This window comes from Homo sapiens, chromosome X (genome assembly GCF_000001405.40).
Source record: "Homo sapiens chromosome X, GRCh38.p14 Primary Assembly".
In the NCBI taxonomy this organism is placed as follows: domain Eukaryota; kingdom Metazoa; phylum Chordata; class Mammalia; order Primates; family Hominidae; genus Homo; species Homo sapiens.
Window position 1 is genome coordinate 154,219,429 of NC_000023.11, and position 13,982 is coordinate 154,233,410.

Below are 13,982 nucleotides of genomic sequence, written 5' to 3' on the forward strand. Positions count from 1 at the left end.
TGTGCCACTGTGCCCAGCCACTTTTTTTTAGACAGAGTCTTGGTCTGTTGCCCAGGCTAGAGTTCAGTGGCGCCATCTCAGCTCACTGCAACCTCCGCCTCCCAGATTCAAGCGATTCTCCTGCCTCGACCTCCCAGTAGCTGGGATTACAGGTTTCCAGCAAATCCCTCTGAGCCGCCCCCGGGGGCTCGCCTCAGGAGCAAGGAAGCAAGGGGTGGGAGGAGGAGGTCTAAGTCCCAGGCCCAATTAAGAGATCAGATGGTGTAGGATTTGGGAGCTTTTAAGGTGAAGAGGCCCGGGCTGATCCCACTGGCCGGTATAAAGCACCGTGACCCTCAGGTGACGCACCAGGGCCGGCTGCCGTCGGGGACAGGGCTTTCCATAGCCATGGCCCAGCAGTGGAGCCTCCAAAGGCTCGCAGGCCGCCATCCGCAGGACAGCTATGAGGACAGCACCCAGTCCAGCATCTTCACCTACACCAACAGCAACTCCACCAGAGGTGAGCCAGCAGGCCCGTGGAGGCTGGGTGGCTGCACTGGGGGCCACCGGCCACCCACCTGCCCCGCCCAAGGGAATCTCTCTTCTGCACGTCCCCACCAGCAGAGAAGGCTTTCTCCCATAGCTTTTCTGATGACATGAATTGGGGGGTCCTCTCCAAATCTAGAAGGACACCATAATATCGAATATGCATTCTCAAGCCACACAGGCTTCCCAGCCCCTTTGAGAATCCGAGGCCGGGGAAGAGTTTATGTGCTCTTTCTTTGTGGCCCGTAGATGAGTGTGTTCACTGCTAGCGAATGACCTCTCATTCCACGGAGTCCCTCAGCTTCCTGGGGAAGAGCTGGGTCTGTCTTTACATTTGAAGCCGAAAGGAGGCAACATACTGACACACCCAAGGGAGGCGGGAGGGTGGGGAAGACAGCAGCAGAGGGCAAGAAACTTCTAGAACTTCAGGGTCGGCAAAGCCTGTAGCAGTCATTTTGTCAAACTCCATGATGGGGCCACTTGGCTTTTGGCTGCACACCTCTGGGGGAAGAGGCTGCATTGGCGCCCAGGGCCATCTTTCCATTCGGAGCCGTCCTGGGAGAGAGGGCTCAGGCCCAACAGAAAGCTGAAAGCTCTCATCAGGGCAGCCCGAGTCCTGCCATTGGGAGTTGCCCAATCCGAAAGTTTTGCACGCAGGCCCTCAAAGAAGCTGAGGACACCAGTGACCGCCCCACTCCTGGCCCTCTCCCCAGGTCCCTCCTCCAAACCAAATTCCTTTGGTGCCTTCAAGAACATCGTGCAGGCCGGGCACAGTGGCTCACGCCTGTAATCCCAGCACTTTGGGAGGCAGAGGCGGGCAGATGACGAGGTCAACAGATAGAGATCATCCTGGCCAACATACTGAAACCTCATGTCTACTAAAAATGCAAAAATTAGCTGGGCTTGGTGGCGCATGCCTGTAGTCCCAGCTACTCAGGAGGCTGAGGCAGGAGAATCGCTTGAACCCGGGAGGTGGAGGTTGCAGTGAGCCGAGATCACGCCACTATGCTCCAGCCTGGCCACAGAGTGAGACTCTTGTCTCAAAACAAAACAAAACAAAAAACAACAACATCGTGCAGGCTGTGGTTTCCAGAAGCCACGCCAGCTCCTTGATTGCCAATAAACATCCCGCTGTGGGGTGGCCAGGACCGAGTGCCAATTAGTGACAGAGTGCCCAGACCAAACCGGATGAGGATCTTGCAGTTGACCTCAACATGACTGTGCCCAGAATTTCCTTGGTGGCAATGTCAACAGTCTCTTCCTAGATGCCCCCAGACTTCATCAATGCATGATGCTTCAGTGCACTCTTTTCAAATGTCGGGGTGGGTTTTTTTTTTTTTCCACAAAACTTCAAGCATCTACTAAAGTAGAGGGAGGAGTGTAATGAACTCCGGTACCCATCACTCAGCTTCCACGGTTTCATCTCATTTCATCTGTGACCCCTCCACTACCCTTTCTTCCTGATTCTTGGAAGCAAATCCAAGACATCACACCCTTCCCTCTGTAAATCTTTACTATGTTCCTCTAGGAGAAAAGGGCTCTTCTCAATACATAACCACAAGTCATCATCACACCGACAAGTGTAACAATATTTCCTGAATAGCTTCAAATATCCTAGTAGTGTTCAAAAAATGTCATACGTATTTTCAGTCTGCTTGAATCAGGGCTCAAATAAGGTCCACACATTCAGATTGACTGATATGCCTTTTGACTACCTTTGAATCTAGAGGTTCCCTTTCTATCTCCCTGCAATTTATTTGTGGAAGCAAGCAAGTCGTTCATGACGTAGCCTAACAGGCCCCTCTGACGTTGTTCATTATGATTTTTCTGTAAATTGGTAGTTGATCTGAGGATCTGGCCAGAGGCAGGTTGGATTTGTTGGTGTGTTTTGGCAAGGAGAGTGTCTCTTTTCTGGGGTGTTGGCAGCTACTGAAACTCAATGCCCAGACCAATTAAACCACTGGGGATGGAAAATGACGGCATTCGGACACCTTACCCTGCCTTCACCTATTGGTGACCAAAACCTTAACATCTTCACAGGTCTTCTTACCCTGAGGGTATATGCCACTAGGTTGTGTAGTAAACCGGTGTGTTTCCAGTCCCTTAGAATAGTCCCTCTCTAAGTGATATGCCACTCAGTGGATATGCATTTAGCTTCATTTCTTTTGTTGCTGATTTTCAGAGATTGCTCTGTAAATTTAAACTTTTATTTTACTTTATTTTATTTTTTCGAGACAGTCTTACTCTGTCGCCCAGGCTGGAGTGCAGTGGCGCGATCTCAGCTCACTGCAACTTCCGCCTCCTCGGTTCGAGCGATTCTCCTGCCTCAGCCTCCCGAGGAGCTGGGACTACAGGTGCCCGCCACCACGCCCAGCTAATTTTTTTTATTTTTAGTAGAGACAGGGTTTCACCATGTTGGCCAGGCTGGTCTCCAACTGCTGACCTCAAGTCGTCCGCCCACCTCGGCTTCCCAAAGTGCTGGGATTACAGGTGTGAGCCACCGCCCCCGGCCACTTAAATTTTGTTTTATAATTATGTAATAAAACAGTTAAAAGTCTCAAATTAAAATCTAGAAAAGAAGGTGTATTTGAAGAAGTCTGGCTTCTCTGCGCCACCACCGACCGCCCCTTCCCTACCTGCCTGTATTTCCTCGAATCACTTTGCCTGGGAGCTGACTTTGATTCTCTTGCTCATTGCTTCATGAAATTCAGTTCCAGAACTTTCAGGAGGGAGGGGTAGGCCATGACACCAGCTCTAGTTACACTGGTGGCAGCTCCTGTCCCCTCCCCCACTGCTGCTGGGACCTGTTCTCTCCTTTGCCCCCTTGTCCCTGCACTGCCCAATTTGGACCGCAAGGGTTGCCAGGGAAGGGCACTGGCTGCCTTGTTTTCAGAGGTCGTAGCACCTAGATTGCTCCAGCCCCTTGCACTTGCCTGCAGGCCAGAGTGTCCCAAACCCTCCCAGTCTCAGCTGCTCTTCCCCAGTTCACCCAAGGTACTTCCCAGGGAAGAGCTGCCGACAGTTTGGGGGTTCTCTGTTCTTAGGTCCATCAGCAACCCCATTGCTCCCCTCTGCTTCCTTCTGCACGGAGACTGACGCCATGCAGGTCTTCAATTGTCAATGGTCTGTCCCTGCTGCTCATACTGGGGGTTCCTGGGGAGCCAGTGCCAGGTATCGGGATTGCAGACATTGTCTGTGGGTTTCCAGAAGCTCCTTGTGTTAGGAACATATGGGGCCCGTGCACAGAGGGCAGCAGAGGCCTTGTGGGATCCAGCTGTGCTAGGGGTGAGATTTATCTGTCTCTCCTGGCCATAGCCAGGAAATCCCCATTTTTCTTAAGCTAGCTTGAGTTGGGCTTTTCTAACACACAGCTAAAGAATCTCTTGATAAACCTTGGGACTCTCCATGAGGCCTTATATGGCAGCAGGTCTGTGGCTTGCAATCCCTTCAAGTAATCTGCCAAAAACAATGTTATGACGAAGGTCCTTCCAACACAAAAGGTGTAGAGCCCTAGCAAACTCCTACAGAAGAAAAAGGAGAAATAATTCGTTTGTAGTCCCAGCTACTTGGGAGGCCAAGGTGGGAGGATCACTTGAAGTCAGGAGTTCGAGACCAGCCTAGGCAACATAGCCAGACCCCATCTCTACAGAAATAAAAAAAATTGCCATTGTGGTAATGCACGGCTTGTAGTCCCAGGTACTCGAGAGGCTGAGGCAGGAGGATCGCTTGAGCCCAGGAGGATCGCTTGAGCCCAGGAGTTCCACGTTGCAGTGAGCTATGATTGTGCCACTATACTCCAGCCTGGGTGACAGAGCAAGACTTTGTCCCAAAAAAAAAAAAAAAAGAAAAGAAAGAAAGGAAAAGAATAAAAGAGAAATTACCATAGATTGGGTGGCTTTTAAATGATAAATGTATTTCTCACAGCTCTGGAGGCTGGAAGTCAGGGTGCTAGCGTGGTGGGCTCTGGCGAGGACCCTCTTCCTGACTGCAGATTGCCAACAACTCATTGTATCCTCACATGGAAGAAAGAGAGCTAGAGAGCACTCTAGGGACTCTTTTTCTTGTTTGTTTTAATTAAAAAAAAATTTTTTTTACATGGGCATGCCATGTTGCCCAGGTTGGATTTGAACTCCTGGGCTCAAGCAACCCTCCAGCCTCAGCCTCCCAAAGTGCTGGGATTACAGGCATGAGCCACCATTCCCAGCTAATTTGGGCTGTTCCCAAAGGCTCAAGTGATCCTCCCACGTTGGCCTCCTGAGTAGCTGGGGCTACAGGCGTGAGCCACCATGCCCAGCTTCTAGGACCTCTTTTATAAGGGCACTAATCCCATTCATGAGGGCCCCACTCACTCTGCACACATGACCTAAATGACCTGCCAAAGGCCCCACCTCCTAATACCATCACCTTGGGGGTTGGGATTTCAACACAGAAATTTATGGGGGGCACGTACATTCAGATCATCATGAACAGTAACTCCTATGTGTGACAGAAGGTGACAGAGGTGGGTAGTGGTCTTCCCCTCAAGGGGGTGAGTTGCCACTAGCTGGGGAATCTTCTGGAAGGCAAATGCATATGAGCTGGGCTTTACAGGAGGCAAGCGTTTCTCTATGGAAGGGCAGAGGACTGTGGGAGGTAGGAGGTGGGGCTGGGGCAAAGGGAAGAGGGGAGCAGGGAAGTGGGGTGACTGCACACTGGGAGTGGGGAATCAGATGGAGGAGACGATGAGGAGTTCTGTTAAGTTCAAGATGCCAGTGCCAGTGACCAGCGGGCGATGGTCTCTGGCTTGAGGGACAGGATGGAGGGGAGACTGTCTGAGGATGGACAAAGCTGGAGGGAAACAGCCAATTGCAAAGGCAGGAGGGCGGAAGGGGGAGGGGAGAGGTGGGATCAGCACTGGTATAGACAGGCGGTGCTGCAGCCCAGCTCCTCTCTCTCCTCTGCCTCCTGCCCTCAGGCCCCTTCGAAGGCCCGAATTACCACATCGCTCCCAGATGGGTGTACCACCTCACCAGTGTCTGGATGATCTTTGTGGTCATTGCATCCGTCTTCACAAATGGGCTTGTGCTGGCGGCCACCATGAAGTTCAAGAAGCTGCGCCACCCGCTGAACTGGATCCTGGTGAACCTGGCGGTCGCTGACCTGGCAGAGACCGTCATCGCCAGCACTATCAGCGTTGTGAACCAGGTCTATGGCTACTTCGTGCTGGGCCACCCTATGTGTGTCCTGGAGGGCTACACCGTCTCCCTGTGTGGTAAGCCAGTCGGGGCCCAGGCTCAGCGGAAACCACTCATTCACCCTGCAAGCCCCTCCGGCCACCTCATGATGATCGGGGCCCAGCTGCTCCTGTAGGCCTGTCTCCCTCCACATCTGCGCCTCACATCCATATACTGAAGGGTTCTGGAGGCTTCCATCTGAACACTCACATTAAATTCAGCTCCCTTGAGTCAAACATACCCTGAGTTCCTACTCTTGAGTCAGGCTCTGCCCGGGGACAGCCAGTTTGGAGCTGTGGGGCTGGTGTGGGAGGAGACAGATACAGAGCTAGACAACCCCAGAACAGTAGGGGGGCGGGGACTCTGGGCACCCTGGACAGAACTCCCCTGCAATTAGGGATGCCTGCTCTTTCAGCTCGCCAGCATCTGCTTTTCCCGGAGGAGACACAATTCCCAGATCCTCTCCCCATCCCCATCACTAATATCTCTGTGGGCCACTATTCCGCTCAGGTCAGGAGACAGTGGCCGAGAGGTACTAGCGTGCCAGGCTCTGTGCTAAGGAGGGGGCCCTATAGCCAGACGGCAACCACACAGTACCATCATCAGTCCTCTCAGACAAGAAGGGGCCTGGGGCAGGTGGTGGAGGAGCGGCTGGGAGCAGTTTGTGGTTCGAGTGGATAGAGTACCACCAAGCAGCCGTGGCTGCTGGACACGAGGTGGGCAGGCCCAGGTCTCAGAGGCCTCAGACGTCATGCCCAGGAGCTGGGACTTTCTTTCAGGAGGAGGAGACCCCACATCCAGCAGCAGCAGCTCCTGCTCTTGCCTCCCCACCACTCTTAGCAGCCTCCCCAACCCCACCCCGTTAACTGCCTCAAATTGTACCCACGATGGCCCAGACCAGAGAGGGTGCTTGTCCAAGTCCCGGCACTACCCCGATAGTGTAGAAGGGGAGCCAAGGGAAGGTCAGGCAGAGAAGGTCCATCCCCAGGTCCGAGTGCTCTCTGCAGCAGGCATGGCCTCGGTGGTCACACGACCCTTCCCGAGTGCCCCCCTGCATCTCCGCCCACGTCTGTCTCCGTTTCTGCCATGGTCTCCCGCTCACCCTTGCCTCTGCTCATGGTCTGTTCTTGGGTCAGTCAGGTGCCAAGCAGCCAGCACTTCCCCACCACTTTTGGTCCACGGATGCCCTTGGCCATCTGGGAAGCCTGTGGACCCCATCTCAGGAGAATTTTTGCAAACGCATAAAATGAGACCCATAGGATTACAAAGGCAGCAAATTATACTGAAATACAGTTATCAAAGTATTAAACATTCATCAGTAACATAGTCTTTAGTTAAAAGCATTTACTGGCCAGGCTCATACCTGTAATCCCAGCACTTTGGGAGGCTGAGGTGGGAGGACTGCTTGCCTCCAAGAGTTTGAGACCAGCCTGGGCAACATAGTGAGACCTCTTCTCTACAACAAATAAAAACAGCTGGGCGTGGTGGCACACCAGTAGTCCCAGCTACTCAGGAGGCTCAGGCGGGAGGATCGCTTGAGCTCTGGAGGTCAAGGCTGCAGTGAGCTATGATGGCACCACTGCACTCAGCCTGGGCAACAGAGTGAGATTCTGTCTCAAAAAGTAAATAAAAATAAAAGCATGTGTTAAACGTATTAGTGACACCACTCAGTATTAAGGTATTAAGTAACAGGATCCCGCCTGACAACCACTGTTATTTCAGAGTAGTGATGAACATAAGTGGTATTCGAACTCTCTGCCACCTCTATGAATTGACAGGAAAACATCTGTGACCTCTCTTGCTGACCGAGTCACGGGTACTGCTAATACTGCCACGTTCATAATGGAAGGAAATTTCCAGTGTCTGTTCGAGGTTGGTGGAAAGAAAGATGTCGTTTTTTCCACCTCAGTCCGTGGAGCCCTGAATTCTGTGTGCAGACGTTTGGGGTCTAAGCAGGACAGTGGGAAGCTTTGCTTCCCACCTTTGCTTTGGCTCAAAGCCCTCATCTGTCTGCTCTCCCCATAGGGATCACAGGTCTCTGGTCTCTGGCCATCATTTCCTGGGAGAGATGGATGGTGGTCTGCAAGCCCTTTGGCAATGTGAGATTTGATGCCAAGCTGGCCATCGTGGGCATTGCCTTCTCCTGGATCTGGGCTGCTGTGTGGACAGCCCCGCCCATCTTTGGTTGGAGCAGGTAAGGGTGCGAGGACGCAAGATGGAGTGGGCAGGGTCAGACTCTGTGACCTTAAGGCAAATCACTTCCTTTCTCTGGGCCCCTCTGAGCGTGCAATGTCTATCAATGTATGAATGTGGCTGCAACATAGGAAAGGCTCTGTGGTCCCCGAACCTCTGGAAACATATTTATCCCAAGCACGATCAGGTCACAGGCGCACACGGAGCTCAGGCCATCAGCACAGCTGTCAGTGAACGCATAGCGTGTTTGCATTCCAGGTCTCTTTCTTGCACACGCTGCCGCACCACGCCCCCCACCTTTCAGAGGCTGCTTGGGTCATAGATCCACCTGGGCCTACAGAGCACATGTCCTGGCCAGGCCAAGCAAGTGGCTCAAATGTTTGATTGGAGTGGACTGGGTGGGACAGCATTTCACTGTTTTATCGACAAGCTCGTGAATAAGTTCTCGTGGTGTTTGGAGAGGGAATGTTCTTTCCTCGAGAACGTTCCACAATTCTAGGAAACAAACCTTGTGGAAGCCTGTCTCTGTCTCCCGCCCTCCTCATGCCGCCATGCCCCACACAGCTGCCCGTTATCAAACATGTGTGGTGAGCTGACCCTGGTGGAGGCTCTCCCGCGGGTTATCTCATTTAATCCTCCAGGCCACTAAGTGAGCAGGGCCCTTTATTTCAGTCATGGCCTAGCTGACCTCAGATAAAAGACTCAGCTCTTCATGGGTGTTCTCAGAAGGTCAGGGCAAGAAGGAACCTCACAATCCCTTTGTAAAGAAGGGGAGTGATTGGGAAGATGAAAATGTCCTGGAAGCAGATAGTGGAGATGGTTGCACAGCATTGTGAATGTACCAAAGGTCACAATGGTACTTTTTTCTTTTTTTGAGACAGGGTCTCACTCTGTCACTCAGGCTGGCACAGTGCAGTGGTGTAATTATGGCTCACTGCAGCCTCCACCTCCTGGGCTCAAGTGATCCTCCTACCTCAGCCTCCTGAGGAGCTGGGCCTACAGGTGCACCACTTCACCCAGCTAATTTTTTTTATTTTTTGTAGAGACAAGATCTCACTATGTGATCCAGGCTAGTCTTGAACTCCTGGGCTCGAGCAATCCTCCTACCTCTGCCTCCAAATGTGCTGGGACTATAGGCGTGAGCCATTGTGCCTGGCCTATAATGGTACATTTTATGTGATGTGTATTTTACCACAATTCAAAAAGAAGAAAGGCATGACATCTAAAAATGGACAAGGATTAACCAAAATCCTACCCAACGGTTTTGTTTTGGGTTGATGAAAATGTTCTGGAAGCAGAGGTGGTGACTGCCACAGAATTGATCACTTCAAATTGGGTAATCTCATGCAACATGAATTTCACCTCAATTTAAAAAAACAAACCCCACCCGAGTTAGCACCGTGCCTGGGCCGGGGGTCCTGGGTCACCCCACCCTGCATCAGGACTGGCTGCCGGCCCTTCTCTCCAGGTACTGGCCCCACGGCCTGAAGACTTCATGCGGCCCAGACGTGTTCAGCGGCAGCTCGTACCCCGGGGTGCAGTCTTACATGATTGTCCTCATGGTCACCTGCTGCATCACCCCACTCAGCATCATCGTGCTCTGCTACCTCCAAGTGTGGCTGGCCATCCGAGCGGTAAGCCCCCCGATTCCTCCTGGCCTCACCCGCCTCCTGCCCCTAAGCTGCTCTGCCCTCAAATGAGTCCACTGAGACTCCTAAACTATTTTTCCAAAAATCCTTAGAGAAGAGGATTTTACCCCTATAAGAAAATATTAAGATCCAGCGATGAGAATCAGGTGATTCCTTTGGGACTGTACCAGTGGCTGCAGGTTCAGCCCCAGCCCCGTTGTCCTCAGCTCTGTGAGACGGGAAAGCACTGCCACTCCCTCCCTGGAGGAGTCCACTAAGGGAACAGAGGTGTGCCTTGCCCCGACCCTGGACAGTTCTCCCCGGGGTGGAAAGGCTGCCTTTCCCACAGAGTAGAGTGGAGCAGCCACATCAGCAAATGACACCTGCAAATCAAGGCGTGTTTTTATGAGGCTGCCACCGGAGTACCCTTGTCCTTTTCATAGGCTGTGGGGCCGACCAAGGAGTGGACCCGAGAGTGCCATTTGCCCCCCTGACCCACTCTCCACCTCCATGTCTGGCCCTCTGCCCTGGGAAGCTGATCCTGTCCACAGCCGTCACCCCCCACCCCTAGACTAGGCTACCACTGGGAGCCCTTCAGGAAGTCAGAGCAAGGGAGGAGAGCCAGGCTGGTTCTTTTCTGTTAGCAGTGGGAGCCCTTTCAGGGTGCTGGCTTTCCTATATGAAGCTGCCTGTGCCCACAATTGGATGGGCATGCCTGCCAAGCTCTCTCTAGAGGAGTCTGTGAGCCTGTGAAAGGCCCCCTCACCCCGTCACCTTGGGGTGAAGGCTCCCACAGGTACCCAACCATGGCTTCGGCTGTATTAGTCTGGGATGGTAGAGCCCCAGCTCCACAATGTGGCCCCGGCTCTGCTGTCTCAGCCATCCCTGCATTCCAGCCCTCACACTCCCTCTCTCATCCCCACTCATCTGCCTGCCGCCAGTCCCTCATCCCTGGCAGGTGGTGGCTGGCCTCTGGCCTCCCCCACAGTGCCTCTGCCTGGAGGCCATTCGTCTCCTTCCTCCCAGCAGGCATGAAGGAGCCACCCCACCAAAGCTGCCCTCAGCTGCCTCACCGTGAGTCCAGGGCAGGATTTAGTCCACAGAGTGGCCAACCTAGCCTAGGAAGCCTGAGGGAAGTGTATGCATTGCTCTGACACTCCCATCGCGCACCCCGCCAGCCACTGCTTTTGCCTCCCCCGCCATCTCCACCTTGTTAACTCCTTCATTCTCCACGCCCAGTCATCAATCAAATCAGGCCTCCATGCTCAGGCCTGAGCGCAGGACAGGACAGTCTGTTAAGGGATCAGGTGAAGCAAAGGAGCTTGTTAGATCCAGCTCTGGGGTCATCTTAGGCCACACCTAGCTGCATGCCACCTCCAATTCTAGAACTCCCCCAGGGCCAGCCTGAGGCAGCCATGTCTGCCTGGGGCCGGCTGTGCTCCACTCAGGGCTGGAAGATGGCTGCTGGGCTCCTCTCCTCCTCCCCACAACTCCCTATGCCTGGGTCACCTGCCTCTTGCTGCCCTCCAACCCCCGACTCACTATCCCTGTCTCCCTTAGGTGGCAAAGCAGCAGAAAGAGTCTGAATCCACCCAGAAGGCAGAGAAGGAAGTGACGCGCATGGTGGTGGTGATGGTCCTGGCATTCTGCTTCTGCTGGGGACCCTACGCCTTCTTCGCATGCTTTGCTGCTGCCAACCCTGGCTACCCCTTCCACCCTTTGATGGCTGCCCTGCCGGCCTTCTTTGCCAAAAGTGCCACTATCTACAACCCCGTTATCTATGTCTTTATGAACCGGCAGGTAAGCAACACCATCAGCAGATCCCACTCAAAATACCGTGTGCCCTAGAAGGGTGCAGCGATGGCCCCACCTGGAATCATGTCTCTGATAAGAAGCCCGCGGAGCATCTGGGGGACCCTCCAGGGAAATGACCGGGAAAGGCTCAGCGTGTGACCCAGCCCCAGCCAGAGCTCCGGCTGGCCCTTAGCAGAAGGCTTAGGTGTGCCCTCTGGAATCCTTTATAGTCTCGGCCTGAGGGTGGCATTTCCCAAAGCGTCTGTGTGCCGTGCGCTCTTCCCTTCCGGTGGCCCTAGAACTATGGCTGCCGAGCTTCAGGGGCTCTCCTGGCGTTCAGACGCTCTAGGAGTTGGTGAGCCCTAGGTACATCCACCCTAGGTGTGCCCCTCTTCTGTTCAGACTCGACCCTTCTCAACCTTCATCTCTCCATTTTCAAACCGTAACCTCTGGAATTTGTCTTCCTATAAGAACAAAAGCCGGCCCTCCTTGGCTACACTGACCAAGAGTTCAAGAGCTTTCACGAGTTTGTGGGTTAGTTCAGGGGGGACGTGCTGTGGTCCTGCCCAGAGGCAGCCTCCTTAGCTGGCATATTGGGCCTCAGCAGCAAGCTGCTCACACACCTAAATCCCCCCACCTCCTGCAGGTTACAGGCTTCATTAAAGCGCAGCTGTGATGTGACTTGATGGTGGCCAGAAAGGTGTGCAGAGGCCTCCCATTTCACCAGGCCCAGTCCATCCCTTCCACTGGGCTCTTCCTTGCTTCTCCATCTTAGAGCCACTCAATGGCTCCAGCCCCTTTGGCTCAGCTTTGACTCACACAAGCCAAGTCTGCAGAGTTCATTAAGGGTTCATTCTCTCTGGTAACTTTTAAATAGTAAGTAGGACCAGGCCTGCAGTGGATTTCCGGGAACTCGCTGTAGCACACTGATGCCCAGAGTGTAGTTCTATCCCTGACCCCTGTTTCCTGACTTTCATGAGGATCTTTTTTAGGTTTCTGGAATCCTAAACTATCTTGCCAAGTACTGTCTTTACTGGATTATTTCCATTCTCCTTTCCAGAACTCCCCCTGGACAGGGGGAGACAGATGTCTGCACTTCTGGACCTCACCAGGCCTCGAACTTTGCTTTTACCCTTTCCACATAATTATCCTGTCCTGCCACATTCTGAGAGAATTTTCTGGAACGCAGTTCCATGAAGACAGCAAATTTTGCTCAGGACAGAGTCTGGCACACAGTGGGTGCTCAAGCAGCAGCTGCTGAATGGATTCCTCAGCCCTATCTCCCAGCTCTTCAGCCGAGCTGATTCTGCTGTTTGTCCCGTTTCTTATGTTATTAATTTCAACCATTATATTTTTTATTTTTGAGAGTTTTGATGATAGAGGGAGTTAGAGCTAGTCAAGAGTAGGCCTGAAATATTTAGAAAATGCCTTTGGTCTGGGTCCTCAAAGCATTGTGGTTACTTCAGGGATGACACAGGACATGATTTGAGACATTCATATGGCCCAGATCTCTTTGGGGTGAAGCAGCAAAGACAGACCCCTCCTGGTACCGGAAGACGCTTGGCTGGAGAGATGAGGTAGGGGCTAGATTGTCATTACCTAGGCCTCACCTTGCCCCAGATCCATGGACTGGAAAAAACATGACAACCACATGCCTTTTCATTAATATTCCTCCGAGCCGCTCACCAGACAGTCTGGGGACAGGTCACCACTGCCCCTTAGCTGTCACTGTGGATGAGTGTCATGGGGCTGCCGTCACAAACTACCACAAACTCAGTGGCTTCAAACCACAGAAATGGATTCTCTCAGGGTTCTGGAAATCTTGAGTCTGAAATCAGGGTGTTGGCAAATGGAAAGGTTCCCTATGGAGGCCGGGAGGGAGAAGCAGCTGCAGGGCTGCCGGCAGTCTTTGGCGTTCCTTGACTCCAAGGTGTGTCACCCCAGTCTCTGCCTTCATCTTCACGTGGCCTTCTTCCCTCTGTCTGCGTGTCCGTGTCCAAGCGTTCCTTTTCTTATCAGGACACCAGTCATTCGATTAGGGCCCACCCTGCTCCAGTGTGACCTCATCTTAACCTGAACACATCTTTTGGGGGACCCACTTCAACCCAGTGTAGTCACCATCAACTGCTAAGTCAGATGACATCCCCGCGTGTGAGGGAGAAATAATCCAAGCCTTCCTCCATCCCCCATGGGATTCGGAATGGGTGAAGGGAAGGCTCGGGCACGTACATTCAGCACAGTGCTCCACCCTTCCCTGCTCTGCTCAATAACGCTTTCTGTCCTTCCAGTTTCGAAACTGCATCTTGCAGCTTTTCGGGAAGAAGGTTGACGATGGCTCTGAACTCTCCAGCGCCTCCAAAACGGAGGTCTCATCTGTGTCCTCGGTATCGCCTGCATGAGGTCTGCCTCCTACCCATCCCGCCCACCGGGGCTTTGGCCACCTCTCCTTTCCCCCTCCTTCTCCATCCCTGTAAAATAAATGTAATTTATCTTTGCCAAAACCAACAAAGTCACAGAGGCTTTCACTGCAGTGTGGGACCACCTGAGCCTCTGCGTGTGCAGGCACTGGGTCTCGAGAGGGTGCAAGGGGGATAAAGAGGAGAGAGCGCTTCATAGACTTTAAGTTTTC

The 13,982-nt window shown here is 53.0% G+C and overlaps 1 protein-coding gene across 1 annotated transcript, besides 3 other annotated features; it reads left to right on the forward strand.

The window, feature by feature from the left end:
* The first annotated feature begins 327 nt into the window (after positions 1-327).
* On the forward strand, positions 328-13,858 carry OPN1MW2 (opsin 1, medium wave sensitive 2). Its single transcript, NM_001048181.3, has 6 exons — positions 328-499; positions 5,480-5,776; positions 7,764-7,932; positions 9,400-9,565; positions 11,120-11,359; positions 13,642-13,858. The coding sequence occupies exons 1-6, from the start codon at positions 388-390 to the stop codon at positions 13,750-13,752; spliced, it is 1,095 nt and encodes a 364-aa protein (NP_001041646.1). The 5' UTR covers positions 328-387; the 3' UTR covers positions 13,753-13,858.
* Positions 5,214-5,715: an enhancer, noted in NCBI's record as "H3K4me1 hESC enhancer chrX:153490111-153490612 (GRCh37/hg19 assembly coordinates)". NCBI's record gives its function as "activates a minimal SCP1, AML or CMV promoter by ChIP-STARR-seq in primed H9 embryonic stem cells {active_cell/tissue: H9 hESC(primed)}" and the evidence as "EXISTENCE:reporter gene assay evidence [ECO:0000049][PMID:30033119]".
* Positions 5,716-6,215: an enhancer, noted in NCBI's record as "H3K4me1 hESC enhancer chrX:153490613-153491112 (GRCh37/hg19 assembly coordinates)". NCBI's record gives its function as "activates a minimal SCP1, AML or CMV promoter by ChIP-STARR-seq in primed H9 embryonic stem cells {active_cell/tissue: H9 hESC(primed)}" and the evidence as "EXISTENCE:reporter gene assay evidence [ECO:0000049][PMID:30033119]".
* Positions 10,293-10,793: an enhancer, noted in NCBI's record as "H3K4me1 hESC enhancer chrX:153495190-153495690 (GRCh37/hg19 assembly coordinates)". NCBI's record gives its function as "activates a minimal SCP1, AML or CMV promoter by ChIP-STARR-seq in naive H9 embryonic stem cells {active_cell/tissue: H9 hESC(naive)}" and the evidence as "EXISTENCE:reporter gene assay evidence [ECO:0000049][PMID:30033119]".